General features: G+C 36.5%; 1 protein-coding gene, 1 long non-coding RNA gene and 1 pseudogene across 11 annotated transcripts in view; 2 read left to right on the top strand and 1 right to left on the bottom strand.

The window, feature by feature from the left end:
- Positions 1-2402, bottom strand: part of ZNF462 (zinc finger protein 462) — a 153477-nt gene extending 151075 nt beyond the window's left edge. For 6 of the 10 annotated variants that reach the window (XM_006717212.5, XM_047423669.1, XM_047423676.1 and 3 more), the window contains exon 1: positions 2347-2402. The gene's annotated coding sequence lies outside the window, so the exon portion shown is untranslated. Of the gene's footprint in view, positions 1-1869 lie in introns of all 10 variants that reach the window. The other 4 variants (XM_047423662.1, XM_047423672.1, XM_047423680.1 and 1 more) reach the window with 1 other exon arrangement.
- On the top strand, positions 2040-9599 carry LOC105376204 (uncharacterized). The gene has a single exon (XR_005646978.2). It is a non-coding gene; the product is annotated as an uncharacterized LOC105376204 (long non-coding RNA).
- RNA5SP292 (RNA, 5S ribosomal pseudogene 292) lies at positions 18694-18811 on the top strand (annotated as a pseudogene).

Genomic DNA, 20238 nt, shown 5'->3' with positions numbered 1-20238 from the left:
GCAAAGGAGAAGGAGGCAAAGGAGAAGGAGAAGGGGAAGAGGGAGATGAGATGATGAATAAAGACCTGCGGAGAAGGCGGTGCGAGGAGCGCGGCCGCCGGGCCGAGGCGTGCGCGCTCGCGTCCCGGTGGCGCCCGGCAGCCCTGGCCCGCAGAGGAAGCCCCCGGTGAGGACCCTGCCCGGCAGCTCATAGCGCTCCCAACGTCAGCCCTGCCCGAGGCGCCGAGCCCGAGCCCCAGAGGGTCCCTTACTTGCATCCATCTAGAGGCCAACCTTTGCAAAGAACATACGTGGGGAACTGGAGGTTGCAAGTATAAACCCAGATCAACCACGTGGGGCTTTTTAATCCCTTTCCAGCTTGCGGTGTGAGTATTTCCAGTGAAAAGCTCAAATTGTCCATTACTGGCACGTATTTTGAAGTCTTCTCTCCTGAAATAAAGGCTCATTGTGCGTTTTATTTCTTTCCTGATATGGAAGGTGGGGGGGTGGAGGAGGAAAAGAGCCCATCATTCCGAGCTTCGGAACCACCACTTTCTTTTCCTAACTTGTGAAATGTTTTGACTGCGCACCAAAAGAAAAAAAGAACGCCTGCTTAAATAACTTTACACCCTCCAGCCCCGCGTTGTTTGCACTTTCTGGCTGATCATCTAAAGGCTCGGAAAGTAACAATCAGCGCTCTTAATGATAAGGTGTCATGGTGTTGAAGACACGCGAGCCAAGATGAAGCTTTCACACCTTGAATTTTTATTTAGTGTAATCTCTCCCGTATCATTCTGAACTATCTCTTTTGCAAAGGAGTGGTTCCCCCCCTCCACCACCAGGTCGAAAGTCTCCTACGGTTTTAATTGGACTGGGAGCGGTGGGGGTTGGGGATGGGGGTTCTACAGTATCAAAAAAATCAATGCAGCAAGTCAGGAGCAATTGAAGTTCAAGGGCATGGGCTGATTGTACCATTTCTATTTCTTGGATCTTGGAGTTGGACATCAACAGCCTCAGGAGAGAGAAACGCGCAGCGCGCGGGGCAGAAAGAGACCTTAATTAAAGTTTCTTTTGTCCGCGTCTGAATTGGGGATGTTGCTGGATTCCTTTGCATTGAGGAGCGCGCATCCGGTGAAGGCGCGGTGTTAAGGATCCTGGGCAAGTCTGTCCTCTTTAAATACTCGCCCTTTCTCCTCCCTCCCCCCAAGCAACAGTCCGAGAAGATATATACCTATAAATCCATACAATAAAGGAAGAGGAGGAGACGCGCGCGGAGTTGGTTCCCATCCGATAGCGGGGCTTCATAAACAGATCTAAATCCTCATTTTCCAAGATTTTCCCGACCCTATATTCCTGAGCAGAATCTCTCACCCCGAGGCACGATTTCACCCACTTCCAGTCAACACTTCCTGCCCTTTTCTCCTCCCACTCACATTGAAAAGCTCGGGATCCCTAAAAGGGTGTTGATGGCGGGGGTGATAAATAAATAAATAAATGACACTCTACGCGTGCGGTGGAGAAGAAAGGAGGGGGAGGGAGAGGAAAGGCGAGGAGAGGGAAGAGAAGTAAGGAGACGAGAACAAGGCGCAGAAAGGACAGAGGCGAAAGGGGAACGGGAGTCACCGAGAAGAGAAAGAAGAAAGGAGAGAGGAGGAGGACGCTGAGGCTGTTCCGGATTGAAATGATCCCGGCTTTGTGCGGCTTTGGGAGGACTCCCCCTTCCGAGTGCCCGGAGGGACCTAGGGAAGTCCTCCTGCCCCGAGCTCCTCCCCACCGGGACCCGGGGGGTGTCTGAGCGCTGGCCGCCGCCACCCCATAAATTCCTCGTGGCAACCGGAGGAAGCGCGCCAGGTCTCCGCCGTCCCTCCACTGTCCCGGCTGATAATTTACCTCTTTGTCTTTAATAAAAAGCTGACTTTTTCTGTCAAGCTCTGCACCGGGAAAATAACAATCGTATTTCAGGTTGAAAGCTCCTATTACTGCTGGGTTTTGGAGGCTGCGATAAAATCTTCATCGACGTGAAGGTACCTTCTGGGTTGGCTTGGGTCGTAAGTCCTAAGATGGGGGCCGTCCTTCCCTGGGGGCAGGGACGTAGGGAACCAGGCGGTGGGGAGGGAGAAAGGAGCGACGAGGTCAGAGGAAACCTTGGGTTTCCAAGGCTCCTGGGGCACCAAAGGGCTTCCCGCAGTCGGGGAATTGAGCCCTGGGGAGGAGCCTTTTGCGAGAACGTGAGCGCGCCCCAACACGCCTCAGACCTCGTAAACCCACTTGGCAAAGACCGGGGAAGCGGCTGGCGGACCGACTGCGGTGAACTCAAGAAATTAACCTGCGCTGCAATTAAACGGGCTGCCGCCCTTTCACACTCACCTCGAGCGACCGAGATAGAGAAAGCTCCCGAACCGGCCGCGGGGGGACTTGGCTCCACCCTCCCGTCCCGGGAGAAGAGGACAAAAAGGGGAGATGGACTTGGAATGGCCCCGCCCTTCACAGCGCTCCAATCCTTGGAAACCAAACCTCCTCTCCAAGCCTCCACGTCTAGAAGGGACAAAGGCAGCGAGGAGATCCAGAGACCGACGGGGAGATGGTGGCTTTCAGGCTTCTGGTGTGGGTGCATGGGGGAAAGGTACAATGGTTAACTTTCCATCAAAAATACGGCACCACACGATGGTCTTGAGAAGACACACTCGGTCTTCTGGTTTAGAAGCAAATTGACTTCCTGAAGCTGTGAAGCGAACTATCGCAAAACTCTCTTGCTTCTTGAATGTGGGGGCGATACAAATTCAATTAATGATGCCATACACGTAATCTTTTCGACTTTTTAGAAGTCACAAACGCTTTAACTCTCCAGTGAAAATAATTGAAAGAGGTTAAACATAAGGGGAATGGGCTTTTTTTTTTTCTTGTTTTTATTTGGGACAATTTTTCAAATGATAAAACTGTATAAATACAAGCTGGGTCAGTCAAGGAAAGCGCTGTGGCTGAAGATTTTCGTAAAAACCTTAGTAAACGTGGCATTTAAGTAACTAATTATGCTTTGCCATTAGCAGACCATTAAGATAAACAGGAGAAAGTTCACACTCCTGCTATTTCGTTCCCTAAGAATAGTCACAAAGATAATACCAGGCTAGTTGGTGGGTTATCTTCTCCATTAGGAGGGTTAATGTTTAAATTTGTTAATTAAAATACAAAAAATTTGGTTTCCTACACAGCCAACGTTGTGAGGGAAGTCTCACGGGGACATCCTGACTCCTTGAAATTTACCTTTTGTTACTTTATCCTGTGGCATTATCCCCTGGAGTCATATAGGGTTTCAAGACTGTTAATGTTGCAGGGAATGTGAGTGAATATGTTAGAAGTCTGGACTTTCTTCTCCCTTATCATAGGTGACTGGCATACACACTCCTCATAAAGAGAAGTTATGGCTCATCAAAAGAGTGACTTTATGAGCATTAATAGAATAATAAATCTTGCACTTTTAGTTCAAGAAACAGTGAAGTCCTATAATCAGAGTGACCCACGCAAATATGATCCATTCACTTGCCCAACTCTAACAGGATACGGATAGTCTATAAATCATTTTAGTTTTTAAAACCTTAAAAAAGGAAGGCACCCAAATCTCCCAAAGGAAGGTGTTTATGGGGGGAAAGGGACTTCTAGCAAACCTGCAGGAAGAGATCATGGAAAAACGAACAGTCGGTCCAGAAGCTGAATTAGATAGACTTTCCACCGAAACAAGAATGGATAGATGTTCCAATGTCATTGTTTCAGTATTTATGTTCTATCATTTAAAAAGAGAAAAGTCTTCCTGCTTCCTGAAAGCTATACAAAAAAAAAAAAAAATCCAGTTGATAGCCCCGTTTTCTAAATTCCAGCTGGAAAACTATTCAAGTTGATGATTTTAGCAAAAGAAAGAGTAGGTGAATACAATATGGCTTTTTAACCACATTTTACACATCTCTTTGTGGTATTTCCCTGCCTATGTGAAACTTCCTTTCTATGCAATGCAATGTAGTCTTTTTACTAGTTGAGTTTGCTTGTGATTTTTCAATGAGTTATCTATTTTGAATTCTTGTGATCTTTACTCGTTGGAAATTACTCAGTCTTCAAAAAGTTTTTCTTAAAACTTCAAATTGGATAATTATGGACCCTCCAAATATCAAAAAAGTGAAGTCACTAGCACACCTTCTTTCTAATTTCTTACAGAAAAATCAATATATTGTCATAAACCCATATTTAAACATATATAACTAGGTAACTAGTGTCCATGCCTAGGGAAAAGTGACTAACAGAAGACAAAGGTGGATGATTCATGATTCTGAACAGCTTTCAAAGGAAGAGACATTGCAATAACTTATATTAAACTTACTCCATATGAATCTTTGTATATATGCCTTTGGATACCAAAGATGTTTCGATAGTGATATTCTAAAATTCAAAAGAAAGTCTTTCTTCCATAGGTAGTAGTTAAATTTACAGTTCTATCAAACTAGTTATTGTAATATGTAATGTGTAATTTCATTCAATCATTGAGTATTTGTTTAGCATCTGTATTACGCCATTCTCAGAACTGAGTACTAGGGATACGAAGATGAATAACTGAAATGAGTCAAATTTTTGATGCATGATCAACCACTAGCTTCAATATAACATTACTTGGATATAAAACTTCAGATTTTTTACTCAAAAGCAATACCAGGATTTGGCCTATGATGAAACTATAATTAATTTGAATATTTCTGTTCTCACAATGAAGCTATTAAGGAGTAATATTTTGTCAAAATAAAATTTTTGGAGTTCGTTGTAAAGCCAATGTGTTGGCTTAACTCATAATTTAACATGAAATTCTCCCTCAAAGAGATATTTAATTTTATTTTATTTTAGATGGAGTCTTGCTCTGTCGCCCCAGCTGGAGTGCAGTGGTGCTATCTTGGCTGACTGTAACCTCTACCTCCCGGGTTCAAGGATTCTCCTGCCTCAGCCTCCCAAGTAGCTGGGACTACAGACATGCACCACCACACCCAGCTAATTTTTGTATTTTTAGTAGAGACAGGGTTTCACTATGTTGGCCAGGCTAGTCCCAAACTCCCAACCTCAAGTGATCCGCCCACGTCAGCCTCCCAAAGTGCTAGGATTACAGGCCTGAGGCACCTCGCCTAGCCAATCTTTTTAAAAGTGCAAAATAACAACCTTAGATCAACTAGGGTTAGATTAACCAAATTCTGAAGACAAGACTCAAGTCAAAGATTGCCCATTTGTTGAAGCATCACTTCCAGCAGAAAGACCAGCATTTCCAGGTTCTTACTATTTGTTCTCTATCTGAAGCTTAGGGAAAGGAAGTGATTTATTCAGGAACACAGAGCTGGTAAGGAGCAGTCAGCCCTAGAGTCTACACTTCAATGGTAGTTTCTCCAAAGTTATCATTCTCATATCATATTCAAGATTTCTTCTTATTCTTTTTCTTTTTTTGGGGGGGATATATTTTCATGTAACTTGGTCCTGTTATTTAATTAATATACATTTTTAAAGTCAACTTTAAAAAATTTTTAACTTCATCATAAGCAATAATATTCACAAATCACAGGTCTGATGGGCTATTTATACATTTTCAATGCATATCAAAATACATATACTGTTATCAAAATTGAAAGAAAGATTTTTGGAGTAAAAAATGTCTGATAGTATACTTGCTAAACTGTGTAAGGAGTGAGAAAGATGGGGAGGAAAGTGTTGTTACAATTTGTGTTTGTGTGTGTGTGTACAAACATGAATCACTTTTATAATTTAAAAAATTTTACAGAAAAAATTATGTGGCATAGTAGTGGTTAGTATATCTCCAAATTAAGTCATTTCTTTGTATATTCTTAATAGGAAATAAAAATTAGCATGAATCTTTTTTAGAGCAATTTAACAATATACATTTAAAGTCTTTAAATGTTCACACTTTAGTGCCCTTAATTCCTATGCTTAGAATCTACCTTAACAGAAATGAAAAAAAATATATATATATATATAAGAAATGATAAAGTAAGTAATCAAAAATAAGTGATTAAGATAAGAGGACTAGTTAGGTAGATAATAATCTATTCCCATTATGACACATTAAGTAGCTTTAATTGTTTGAGAATTTGCAATTAAATAGAAAAATGGTCCAATATTAGGTAAAAGACCTGGATACAAAATTATGATCATGAATTACTTTTTTCAAATTGTATACCCCCAAAATCACCTTGAATGAAAATATACCAGCATGTCAACAGCAAGTTGACTTCTGATTAGAAAAAATTTGGAAAATTTAGAAGGTATAGATAAGCTATGTAAGTTATATAGCTATATAATGATGTTTATATATATATATATGCTATGGAGTCAACTGCTTTGTTTGGACTGAATTATCAATTATCTTTTTAAGTATTTAAAAACATTTTAAAGTTAAATGATAGAACCTACTTTTTATAAGACTGGTAATTGTAAATGTGTCTCAAGGAACATGTTAATACTGCTAATGAAATAGTGGTACAGTAACCTTTTCACACAGATATTTTTCCCTTCACAGATAATACAGGAAGAAGGTTTGAGTGGGCATTTTAAATATATTTTATATAGAAAAGAAAATTTAGGACCAAAGAGATTGAATGATTTAACCTAAGGTCTTCCAATGCTAATGGTATAAAGACTAAAATCCAGGTCTCTTAATTCTTACTGTTACATTTTGAAATCTGTCATTCCACTACAGTTGAAAAATATTACCAAATATTAGCAAAAGAAAATTACTAATGGCCAATATGAAAAAAGTTCAACATAGCATTTACATTGTATTAACTATTATAAGTAATCTAGAGATGATTTAAAGTATATCAGAAAAGGTATGTAGATTATATGCAAATATTATGCCATATTGTATAAGAGACTTGAGCATCCATGGGGGTCCTGGAACTGATATCCTTTGGATACCAAGGGATGACCACATACTGAATGTTTGTGAGTGTGTGTGATTTCCCAGTTGTTAAGAGCATATATAATTCCCAGTTGTTGAGAATATGAAAAAATAGACCCTATAATTCTCTACTGGTGAGACTGGAACTATGAAAAGTTTTATTCTTTCCAGATATATTAAAAGTCTTTTACCCAGGAATTTAATTTTTGGAAATTGATTTAAAGAAATATTCATGACTGTCATCAAAATTTTATGTATAAGGAGACTCATTGTAGCATTGATATCTAACAGCAAGTGATCAAAGAAGTTATATTCATTTATGTGATAGAAAGTTGTATGCCTATCAAATTCTGTAGGAAATGTCAAATGACACTGAAATATTTAAATGATTTTTTGATAACCAAAAAAACAGATTTCAAAACAATGTATATAGTATTATCCCATATTTGTATGTGTGTGTGTGTGTGTGTGTGTGTGTGTGTGTGTGTGTGTATGTGTGTGTGTGTGGCTAGGCACTGAAAAATAATCAGACAAGTATAATCAAAGTGTTAATAGTAATTTTTTCCAGGTAATGTCATTTTTTCTAGCAAAGTAATTATGTATACATTATACATTTTTTTCACTCTGGCTTTTCAGATTTTTAAGCTTTTCTACAATGAATATATCACTTTTGCAATTAGGAAAAGTTCAGAGCTTGCAAATAAATTTTGCCAGCATAAAATTTCTTCCATATCATAAGACTGACCAAATCAAATGCTTTTCTAACTTATAATGTTAATTGTGAGGTTTTGTTAATCATTATTTAAACACACACACACACACACACACACACCTTGAAATTCTTGGTGATATATCCATTTGATTTCCCAAACAGCCTTCACTCAGAATTCAGGGTATCCAGTATGCAGTATGCTAGCACAAAGTTGACTTTGCATCTGCAGACTACCAGCCCATGACTGATCCCTTGTAGATTTCATGTTATTTGCCCTTTCACCATTACATGAAATCTACACATACTCTCCTGTCCACTAGGTTGTGGTTTGATTTCTCAGCGCATTACTAATAACAGTGTTTCAAAAAAGTTACTCATTGGTTGTTTTTTTAAGTATCTAGAAGGCAGAACAGGTTTATTTTTAGTATCTTTCTGATGTTTATGTTGAAAATTTGTTCATTCCAAACAACAGGTTTTATGTGAACTTTTATTGACTTAATGTTTAGAACAAAGATGAAACCAAATCTAGCACTGGACACCTACTCACTGGTTTCCACCTCCTGCTTTTGCTAATGATGACCTTGGACAAGTGTCTTAATGACTCCATGCATCAGTTTCCACATCTGTAAAAGAGGAATAAATTAAATACTGATAGGATTGCTATGAGGATTGAATAACATGTATATAAAGTATATGGGAGTCTGTATCTGTAAGCTGATATGCTCTAAATCCTTAAACCTTTACTGTGAGGCAGGATAGGTGAAGCAAGAGCTCTAATTTTGGAATCAAGAGAGGTATCTAGTCTAGAAAATCAAAACCATATTATGTAGCCATGATTTTAGAAAAACAAGCCATTACTATTTAAATAAACAAGACAACAACAATAATTTAAAAATTTTAAAACCTAAACATAATGAATGGTATCTAAATTCTTCTATTGCTGTTGATTTGCTACTTACTAATTCATTTTGTCTTTTGCAAGAACTAATCTACCAGTTATGTGAGAGTAGGGCAAAAGCTATTATTTTTAACTGTAAGAAAAAAAACTAAAATCAAGGAAGCTTTGTTTGTTGATATCTCAAATACAAGAAACAGTTCGGTATGCTTAGAAAAATCAATATTTCGTAGGAATTGTTATAATAAATATAAATAAAAAAACTACAGCAAATAGGAAACATTTTATTTCACTTCCTTTTTTCTGTTAATTGCACAGACCACCACTATTCCTTGGTCTAGCTTCTAGTCAGCAGTGTTCTGCTGGAGCACAATTGGAAAACCACTGATCTATTCCAGATGAGAAAATCGTCTCAAGGAAAAGTGATTTGCCCAGGGTTACATACCAAGTTACTGAAGAAGCTAAGATCCAGACCTACTCAATCCCTCTTCATGGCTATTTCCACTACATCGAGTTTGCCTATCCTAGCAAAAGAGATTTCCTTGAGCTGGTATTGAACCAAAAGCTCAGTTATCTTCTTTCCTCCCTTTCTCACTCCTTCTTTAACTTTCTCCCTCTGTCCCTCTCTGGCGTTTTCCTCCCTCCATTCTTAGCTTCCTTCCTTCCTAAGGTTTCTCAGGAATGAAATCCTGTACTTTATGTGACCAATAATAATTAACTGCTTAGTCAATCAGTACATAATTTTTATGTTTTCTCTAAATTATTTTGATAACTTTCAGTTCATTTCATTTTCTTTTCTAACCTCAGAAGATTAGTGGAATAGCTAATTGTGTTCTCTGTATATCAATATCTTCTGTTCTTTGGGAGTATTTGGAGTTATCCTCCACCTTTTTTTTCATTTTTAATCTAAAATGATTTTTATAGGCTTAGGATCAGGAAATAAAAAAGACAAAAGAAATGTATGATTTTTCAGCTGGAAAAATATAATTCTTTTATTTCACGTATAAATATAAATGGAAAATATAGCACTATTCTGCATTATCAGGGATCATATGAAATAAAAATTGATTCTTCTGGTCCTTTTGCATTTATTTTCTAACATGGAACACTCACAAAGGGATTATTTCTATTATTCAAAAAGAAGGACGGTCAATGTTCTCATTTGCCGTATGATGGAACACAGAATTTGAAAGTAGTTGGGACTTTCTGAATGTTATAGACAACAGATTACAGGATCATTTGGTAATCACATTAACTTTGCAAATATTAGAATTGAGTGTCAAAGCAATTCACATGGAGAAAGAACAGCAATAGTGATCTTTATTACAGTTTCCCTTGACTATAGCCTGTAGCTAGCGTCTGTCCCATTCACTTAGGAGATGGCAAAATGCAAGACAGCCCCAGCTGTCACCTGGACATCTCAGGAACATAACCCCTTATCAGGCAGAGGGATGTAGTGTTTGTAAGAGACGGTGCACAGAGGCTGTGTTTGTGTTTGGAGGCTGGGAAAAGCCCCAACGTACTGCATCAGTAACAGGAATCTCAAACATCTGTAAATGATGCTCACAAAGCATTTCCACATACATTTCGAAAACTATTCTCACAACTGTGACATGAAGATTATTTCCTCTGTTTTATATTTGGAGAAACCAAGGCTCAAAGTGGTTCAGTGACTTTCCCCAGATCATTCAACTAGCACTGGGATTTGAACTCAGAACTGATTCCAGATAGCACCCACCAGCTTTCCTCATTGTCAAGTATTAAACTCCTGATATAGCATGGTAATATGTCTTTTGCATTTATGCGTGTGTATGTATATATGTATATATACATGTTTTTTGATTATGTAAGTAATATATATTATAGAAAATTTAGCAAACACAGAAAAGTCTGAAAAAAAGAGAAATATTTAACCTTCAAACACAGAACTGTTACTCTTTCCTCTGTATTTCTCCCTTTGTGATTTGACCGTTTGTGTCCTTTGCTTGTTTTCTTGTTTGTTTTTGTTTTGTTTTGTTTTTGTTGTTGAGACAGAATTTCACTCTTGTTGCCCATGCTTGAGTACAATGGCGCGATCTTGGCTCACTGCAACCTCTGCCTCCCAGATTCAAGCGATTCTCCTGGCTCAGCTTCCTGAGTAGCTGGGGTTACAGGCGCCTGCAACCAGGCCAGACTAATTTTATTTTGTAATTTTAGTAGAGACAGGGTTTCACCACATTGGCCAGGCTGGTCTTGAACTCCTGACCTCAGGTGATCCGCACTCCTTGGCCTCCCAAAGTGCAAGTGCTGGGATTACAGGCATGAGCCACCGCGCCCGGCCCCCTTTGCTTATTTTTTATTGGTATGATGTGTGAGTGTCACACTGATTTATGATGTTAATTTATAGATTAAGAATTTTAGCCCTTTATAATATGTAATAAAATAGTTTTCTTAGTTTTAAATTTTGCTTTTTTGTTTGTTTGTTTGTTTGTTTTGAGACAGAGTCTCACTCTGTCGCCAGGCTGGAGTGCAGGGGCGCCATCTCGGCTCACTGCAACCTCCACCTCCCAGGTTCAAGCAATTCTCCTGCCTCAGCCTCCCGAGTAGCTGGGACTACAGGCAAGCGCCACCACGCACAGCTAATTTTTGTACTTTTAGTAGAGACGGGGTTTCACCATGTTGGCCAGAATGGTCTCGATCTCTTGACCTCGTGATCCGCCCGCCTCGGCCTCTCAAAGTGCTGGGATTACAGGCATGAGCCACCGCTCCCGGCCTTAAATTTTGCTTTTAACTTAATAATAATGTTTTTTGATATATGGAAGTTAAATTTTTGATAATATGGAAGTTAAAGTTAAGTTTAAGCTTACCAATCATTTTCCTTACACTTTCTACCATGAGTATAATATTAGGAAAGCCTTCAGAAATCCTAATAAAATAACTACTCATTAACTTGATTTTTAATCAATTTCAGGAATTTTATCTTCATATTTAACTTTACAATCTGTGTAGAATTTATTTCAACATATGATATGAGGTAGAGATCAAACATAGTTGCTTTCCAAATTATTAACTGTCACAGCATCATTTAAAAAAAAACCTTTTACACTCTTAGTTGAAATGTCATTTTATTGCACACTAAAATTTTATATATCGTAAGATATGTTTCTAGACTATCCATTTGTTTCCATTTATCTGTCCACATTAGCAAATATGTGTCAGTTTTATTTTTATTTACTTTAAACTGAAAAAGATCACAATATTAAATATTGCTTAGACTTTATTAAATATTTGAGCAAAACTTCCATATACATACATATGTATGTATGTATATATATAAATTAACTTCCCAGACTGAATTCTGTCCGCATGTACACAAGTTTAGCTCATGACCCAAAACAGTGGTTTTTACAAAATCGCAGATACATTAGTGGGTTACAAATCCATTTAAAGCTTTACATGAGCTTTTTTCTTAACATACAGTTGGCCCTTGAAAAACTCAGGGGTTAGGAGCACCAAACCCCCACCACCCTGTCCCCCGCCACAGTCAAAGATTGGTAGATAACTTTTGACTCCCCGGAAGCTTAAGTACTAATAGCCTACCATTGACTGGAAATCTTAACAATAACAAACAGTTAACACATATTTTGTATGTTATATGTATAATATACTGTATTTTTACAATAAAGTAAGCTAAAGAAAACAAAATGTTATTAAGAAACCATAAGGAAGAGAGACTATATTTACGATTTATTAAGTGGAAGTGAATCATCGTAAAGCTCTGCATCCTCATGTCTTCACGTTCAGTAGGCTAAGGAGGAGGGGGAAGAGGAGAAGTTGGTCTTGTTATCTCAGAGATGACATAGGTAGACCAAAAACTGTGTATGAGTAGACCTGTGCAAACTCATGTTGTTCAAGGGTCAACTGCACTTAGATTCAGGATTCTGAGTTTAATAACTTAGGCTACTGATCACTGTTAGATATTGTTTCATCCCACTGAGAAAGCAGTAAAGATAATAGAGCAGTGGCTTTAAAACTCATGAAAGAGAAGAGGAACAAGAAAATTCAAGTAACATAGTAAAAGAAAAGAAAAAAATAAACAAGATTATATAATAGAAAACATGAACACAATGCCAGAAATAAGAATAAGATGTCAGAAATAAAACTGTTTGGTTAATATGTTTATGTCAATTTTCAGAATAAATGTTAATAGATAAAATTTTCTTATCACGATATAGAAACTCATACTGTTACGCCCAATAGATAACTACAAACTTTAATCAAGTTTATTAAATGGGTTGTTCAATTCTATATATTTTTTTTCCTTTTTTTGTCTGAGAGTCACAGAATCTGTCAGTTTCTGAAGGAGATATGTGAAATAAGATAGTCTGAGAAATGGAAAATGCAAACAGCTCTTTAAATATATCATAAATAAAACTAAATGATCAAAAATGTTTAAAATAAAATAGACTAACCAGAAATCAGGCAAATACTATACAAAAGAAAGCAGAAAATATGGTAATATCAGACAAAATAAAATCCAAAGTGAAAAACACAAATGAAAAAGAGAAGTAAGTTTTAATTGATAGGAGGAATAATTCACCATTTCTATGTACAATATGGCTTCTTAGTATGTGAAGTATAATGTGTTATATATACAAGGAAGAATTGACAAAACTACAATGATAATTGTAGATTTTTGATATGCCTCATCAAAAAATGACAAATTAAATGATCCTCAAATACAAAGTTATAGAGGAGTTGAATGATACATTCATTAAACTTGATTAAATGGAGGTATGTATAGAACTATGTGTCTGATATTCTTTTCTAGTACCCTTGGAACATTTTTTTAAATGGCTGGTTATTTAGTCACACATAAAAATCTCTACAAGTTCAATAAACATCCAAAGTAGATAACAAACATAATGCAATAAAACTATAAACTTAAAGGACAAACACACAAACCCAAAATACACAAAATACTAAAAAGTTTAAAAAACCTCTTAAAAAGAATACCAAGCCAAAATTGCAGCCTTTTTAAGTAAAAACAACATTGAGAATACTACATATCAAAACCTATGTGATGTGACCCAGTTGTAGTCACGTAAAAATTAATATCCTTAAATTTATTATTTAGAAAATAGAAAATATTAAAAATACACAACCACTTTCAATTAAAGGAGCTAAAATTAGACAAAAATTTTAAGTAGAAAGTATTGAGTTTTAGAAACAAAATTCTATGAAAATGAACAAGTAAACTCTATCAATTAAACTATCAACTGAAAATCAGGTAAGTCTGATGACAAAAGAAGAAAACACAAATATATAACATTAAACCAAGAATAGAGACATAACTCCACAGAGGAGATTAAAAAGTTATGAGACTATTGTATCAATGAATTTAGAAATATTAGATGAAAATAATAATTTTTTAAAAGTCTACATAATGATGAAAATTGTCTTAAGAGGAAGAAGAAAAAATCAGTTTTTATAGAAAAAAGAAAACATCCCCTAACCCTCACACCAGAAGTGCTAGGTAGATTCTAGTACACCTTACAGAAACCAATAATTCCTGTGTGTATGTATATATATTAAGCCTCTTACAATAACCCTTAGGTAAAAAGAATACCAAGCCAAAATTAGTCTTTTAAAGTAAAAATAACAGTGAGAATACTACATATCAAAACTTATGTGATGTCACACAATTGTAGTCATGTAAAAATTAATATCTTTAAATTTATATATATATATATACTCAGATATATGTATTCACTCTTTATTATAAAAGTAATGAATGCTTATTGGAAAATCTAAGGGTACAGAAAGTCTAGACATTAAAGTAAAAGTCCTATACTATTTAAAGATTTTGTGCTCATTCTCTGCATCTAGTATTATTTTGTCATCTCACCATCCAACAAAGCAAATCAAATGCATAAACAACTTTATAGCAATATTACTTGTAAATATGGACTTGAAACTCCTGTATAAAATAGTTTATATAAAAAATCTCATGTTGTATGAAAGAAATGATTCTTCATGAATAAATAAGGTTATCCCAGAAAACCAAGGATGCTCAAAACCAGAAAATCTATTGATGTTCCTTATTACATTAATTGAATGCAGTAGACCTACCATGTGATCATCTTGATATATGCCAAATAAGTAGTTGATATAATACTTATTTCTGACTTAAGAAAAAACAACAAAGCAAAAGTAAATTTTTAGTAATCCAGGACTAGAAGAACGCTTTTTTTATTGTCAGAGTATCAACCAGAAATTTATAGCACAAAACTTACTACTGAAATATTACAGGCATTCCTATTAAGGTCAGGAATTAAAAAGAGGAATACCTGCTATTTACTGATACAATTCAACACTTCACTGAGGTCCCAGCCTTTTAGATAATGCAAGAAATAGTAAGAAGTATTAGAAAGATCAAAACCAAAATTCATTATCTGCAAATGCAAATTCGAAACTCTAAAACAAACCTCTAAAAAATTAGAGTTCAGCAAGGGAACTGAATACAAGGAATATATACAAAAATCAACAATTTTTCCATATGTCAGTAATATCTAAATAGGTTTGGATGCATTTAGCTGTAGTTAGAGAAACTGAATTAACCAAAATTTAAACCTTGTTTCCTTAAAAGGAAATCTGGAAAAAGGCAGTTTATCTATATGTTCAGTGGCTCTGTAGTATCTTCAAAGACTTCAGCAGTTTCCATATTTCTACCCCATCATTGCAACTCATTGCCTTTTTGTCTTCATATTTGTAGCCTCATGGCTACGTTATGGCTATTCCAACCAGATATAATGCCAGCTCATCAGCATTGAAAGTAGGAAGAAAGAATGGAGATAGGCACAAAGGGGCTTTCCTTGTACCAAGCAGTAAAATTTATCAGAATTTCCCTTATTACATATTTTGTAAAGGTAGGTGGCAAGTGTAGTAGGGAAAGTGAACATGAAGGAAATTACACAATCATTTGGATTGCTATATGACTGGCTTATACCAATCATGATTCATCCTCTGGGAATGGGCACATTGCTACTTCCAAATAAAATCAGAATTCTGTTAGCAAGAGAAGTGGTCAGAGGGCTTCTTGGTAGATGACTCTCAGTATATGCCACTATACGAATTATGACGCAGGTATAAGATATATACCAAAAAATCAATAGAGATAAAATCTCATTTACTCAACTGACAATTTTTTAAAACCCATAAAATATCTAGAATAAACAATAAAGTATGCAAGACCTATATAATTATATATTTTAAATTTACTAAAAGACTATAAAACATGAAAAATATAGAGACACGTCATGTTCCCATATGAAAAGCCTCAATATGGTAAAGTGTTGATTCTCCATATAATTATCTACAAATCCATAGCAGTCCTAATCAAAGTGACATCTTTTTATTACCTTGATAATTGATCCCAAAATTTATCTGTAGAAGGAAATGAACATTTAGAAAAGTAACACTACTATGTAGACTAACTCCTCATCAGATGTTATAAACATATAGTGATAAAAACAATGTGGTATTGGCACAAGAACAGAATACAATAGCAGAACAGAGAATGCGGCACAATACAGAGTATAAAGTCCAAAGGCAGACTATGTACATATAAGGATTAGTGTGCAGTAAGTATGGTATTTCAAATCAGTCAGAAATAATTGATTATTTTCCATTGAATTTTGAAGAATTATCTCTACTTGGGAAGAAATGGTTATATTTCTTTTTCACACTGTATACATAAACAAATTGCATACAGACTAATATAAACATAGAAAAACAAAATTATGCTAGAAGTCATGGGACAATATTTTTATAGTCTTGGGTGTGAAAGGGCTTTCCTAAGATGACATAAAATCCAGATGATTGACCAGTTAATCTACAAAATAAACCCTATAGGTGAAGAAAGTTAAAGACAAATGACTGGCCCAGTGCGGTGGCTCACGCCTGTAATCCCAGCACTTTGGGGGGCCGAGGCAGGTGGATCATGAGGTCAGGAGTTCAAGACCAGCCTGGCCAAGATGGTGAAACCGCATCTCTACTAAAAAAATACAAAAAATTAGCCGGGTGTGGTGGCACACGCCTGTAATCCTAGCTACTCCAGAGGCTGAGGCAGAGAATTGCTTAAACCTGGAGGGATGGAGGTTGCAGTGAGCCGAGATCGTGCCACTGCACTCCAGCCTGGGCAACACAGCGAGACTCCGTTTCAAAAAGAAAAAAAAAAAAGACAAATGACTGACCTGAAGAAAATGTTTACAATATATATAAGAAAGGATAAATGTTATTTGCAAAGTGTTCCAGTAATTTGTTTAGAAAAATTAAATCTACATTTTAAAAAACAGGCATAGGGCATCATCAAGCAGTTGATCTAGGGCATCATCAAGCAGTTGATCGAGGGCATACAAAATGAGCAAAACATTAAAGAGACACTATTGGCCAGGCGCGGTTGCTCATACCTGTAATGCCAGCACTTTGGGAGGCCGAGGCGGGCAGATTGCTTGAGCTCAGGATTTAAGACCGGCCTAGGCAACATAGTGAAATCCCGTCTCTACTAAAAACACAAAAATTTGCAGGCGTAGTGGCACGCTCCCGTGGTCCCAGCTACTCTGGAAGCTGAGGTGGGAGGATAACCTGAGTCCAGGAGGTCAAGGCTGCAATGAGCTGTGATGGCACCACTGCACTCCAGCCTAGGCAACAGAGTGAGAGCCTGTCTCAAAAAGAAAAAAAAAAAAAAGGCACTGTATCTTTAAATACTACATCTTTCTATCATTATTATTGCATTTATATTTTGTTATGTTTATATATGTTATCATATAAGTGTGTAAATGCATAGAAGAGTGTCTAACAGGATGTTTTTACAGATCATTTTTTATAGGTTGGAGGATGGAAGGGGGTTGAAGGGGGTGAAGAAACAATAACTATAAAAAGAAGTTTTAATATTTTGGTCTATATATTTCTAACTGCTCAAAACTTTCAAAATAAGCATATATCATGTTGCTTTTGCAATTAAAAATATTTGTAAAGGAATCGTTTAGCATTTGGATTAGTCAGACTAAGGTTCAAATCCTATATATTACCACCCAATGGCAGTGTGACTTGAATATTTTTAAGTTCTCAGACACTACGTTTCTTGGTCAACAAGCAGGGTGAAACATTACTTCCTTCATAGATGTGTGAACAGACCAAATAGAATTATTATTAATATTATTATTATTATTTTGATACGGAGTCTCGCTCTGTCGCTCAGGCTGGAGTGCAGTGGCGTGATCTCGGCTCACTGCAAGCTCCGCCTCCCGGGTTCACGCCATTCTCCTGCCTCAGCCTCCCGAGTAGCTGGGACTACAGGCGCCAGCCACCACGCCCGGCTAATTTTTATTTTTATTTTTATTTTATTTTTTTTATTTTTAGTAGAGACGGTGTTTCACCGTGTTAGCCAGGATGGTGTCGATCTCCTGACCTCGTGATCCGCCCGCCTCGGCCTCCCAAAGTGCTGGGATTACAGGCATGAGCCATCGCGCCCGGCCCCAAACAGAATTATTATGAAAAACACCTGGCCCGTAGTAGGTGCTAAAGAATGTTGATTTCTTAAATAGCTATTTAGAGACAAATAAATTATAATCTTTATCATTTGCTTTGTTTATTTGGGCTTAAAGGAAGCATGGTTTGATTAAGCCGATTTGAGCAAGCATTTGTACTTGAAATTTTCATTGAAAGATGGCAGACATGGTCTATGTTTTCAGATGAATTAAATATTTAGTTATTTGATCATTCATTCGTTTATACAGTGATATAGTATTATTTACTAGATGTCAATCAGTGTCCTAAACACTTGGAGGTGTGAAGTTAAACAAGAGATACTCTTTTTTTCTGGAGGAGCCTGATAATTGCTTTAACTTTATGCTTTTAACTTAGTGAGATAAATGCAATTCTAGAACCATTCATAAAATGCTAAAGATATAGAAAAGAATCATGTTGAGAAAACACAGAATTAGAGAAGCTTTGAATTGAGCGGGACCAAGTGATCATTTTTTCAACTTCCCATTCCATGCAAAAATCCCTTCTGTAACATTCTTAGAAGACTGTCAAATACTGTCTGCTAGAATAATTATTACAGTTTATTGAATATTTACTGTTGTTTCAGGCACTGTACTAACTCCTCATAGAAACTATTTCAATTCTGTCTGTGGCTACACTACCCTTAACGTACTCGATCTTAACTGATCTTGAAAGCCAAGCAGGGTCAGGTCTGGTTAGTACTTGGATGGGAGAAATTATCTGAGTTCAAACATCACAAAAAATCTGAAAGCCAGCTACCATTATACACAATTTACAGACAGAAAGTAATATCCAGAGAGGTTAAGTAACTTGTCTGAGTTCCTACAGCTAATTAACAGGGCTAAAATTTGAATCTAGGTCAGCCTCATCTCAGAACTCAAGTTCTTAATCTGAACTAATACACTATTGTCCTCACAGCTGGAACACTTCCAATGGTAAGAAACTCAATATATCAAAAGGCAGCTGTTTTGCTTCTTACAAAGTTCTTCCCTATAGAGTGCTTGAATCTGTCTTGTAACATCGTTCCACACCCCAACAAGCATCAAATGACACCTCTGTTTAATTGGACCTACTAAGAGTACAAAGATGCTTAAGACATGGTTTCTACCCTCAAACAGTTTATAATCCTGATTTTTCTCTTTGGAGGAGCATGGAACACCTGCCCCTTCTACAGGAGAGCCCTCCAAAGATTTACAAACAGCCTACCCCCACCCTCTTCCAAATAAAAAACACTTTACCTCCAACTGAATTTCTGATATTGTGCATCAAATAGCCTCAGTTCCTTCAATTGTTGCTAAATTTCCAGAGGTTTTGCCACCTCAATTTTCTTTCTTCAGATGTGTATTTGATACTGTCCTTAAAAGACAGGGTTTTCAAACAAAACAATACAATGTCATGGTAGTACAGAGGAACTTTAGCAGATTTTCATTTGAATATTGACTTCAATTAATATTTGCAGTGATAATTCTAGCTTTTTCTAACAGTGTTATTTATTTACTTCCATTAAATGAACTTAACGTGACTCTACCACTCTGTCGACCCCAACCTCTGTGGGTTTGTTTTTTTGTTGTTGTTGTTTTTTGTTTTTGTTTGTTTGTTTTTACAAATACTCGTCTATCCAGATCTTGGTTTTTCTCCTTCACTTTGAACTTATAAAATCAATTTTTTTTCCCTAGGCTTAGCTCAGCTGAAGAGTGAAATCAAATATTAAATTCTTAAATCAAGACTTTATTACTATCCTTGTTAAACACAATCTTTTAAGAAATGTTTGGTCTATCATTTCAGACTGCCAAACTTTTTTAGTCTTGATATTGTTTTCCATTTTATTATATATCTCCCAGTTGTATGAAATCCTAAATCCTCAGAACCCAGTGTTTTTGTGATCTCTTTGAAGGATCAGGGCAAAGGAGGGAGTTTTGAACTGTGTTACTAATGACCTCTTTCCAAGATGGCATAGGTTCATTATTCAATCATTTTTTGTTATCATTGTTCAATTAGGGACGAATTCACCTAGCTAAGTTAGCATCTGATCTACTCTAAGAAACAAAAACATGCTCTTGTAATTAGAATACTTTTTTTTTCTGCATTTGTCAATTTGACCTGGTTTATTCTTAATGAACCCATGCTAGATCCAACAACCACTGCAATTTTTCCCTAAATGCTCACAAA

The sequence above is a fragment of the Homo sapiens genome, chromosome 9 (assembly GCF_000001405.40).
Source record: "Homo sapiens chromosome 9, GRCh38.p14 Primary Assembly".
NCBI classification, from domain to species: domain Eukaryota; kingdom Metazoa; phylum Chordata; class Mammalia; order Primates; family Hominidae; genus Homo; species Homo sapiens.
Note: the sequence above shows the minus strand (reverse complement) of the source record. Positions and strands in the feature narration are given on the sequence as shown.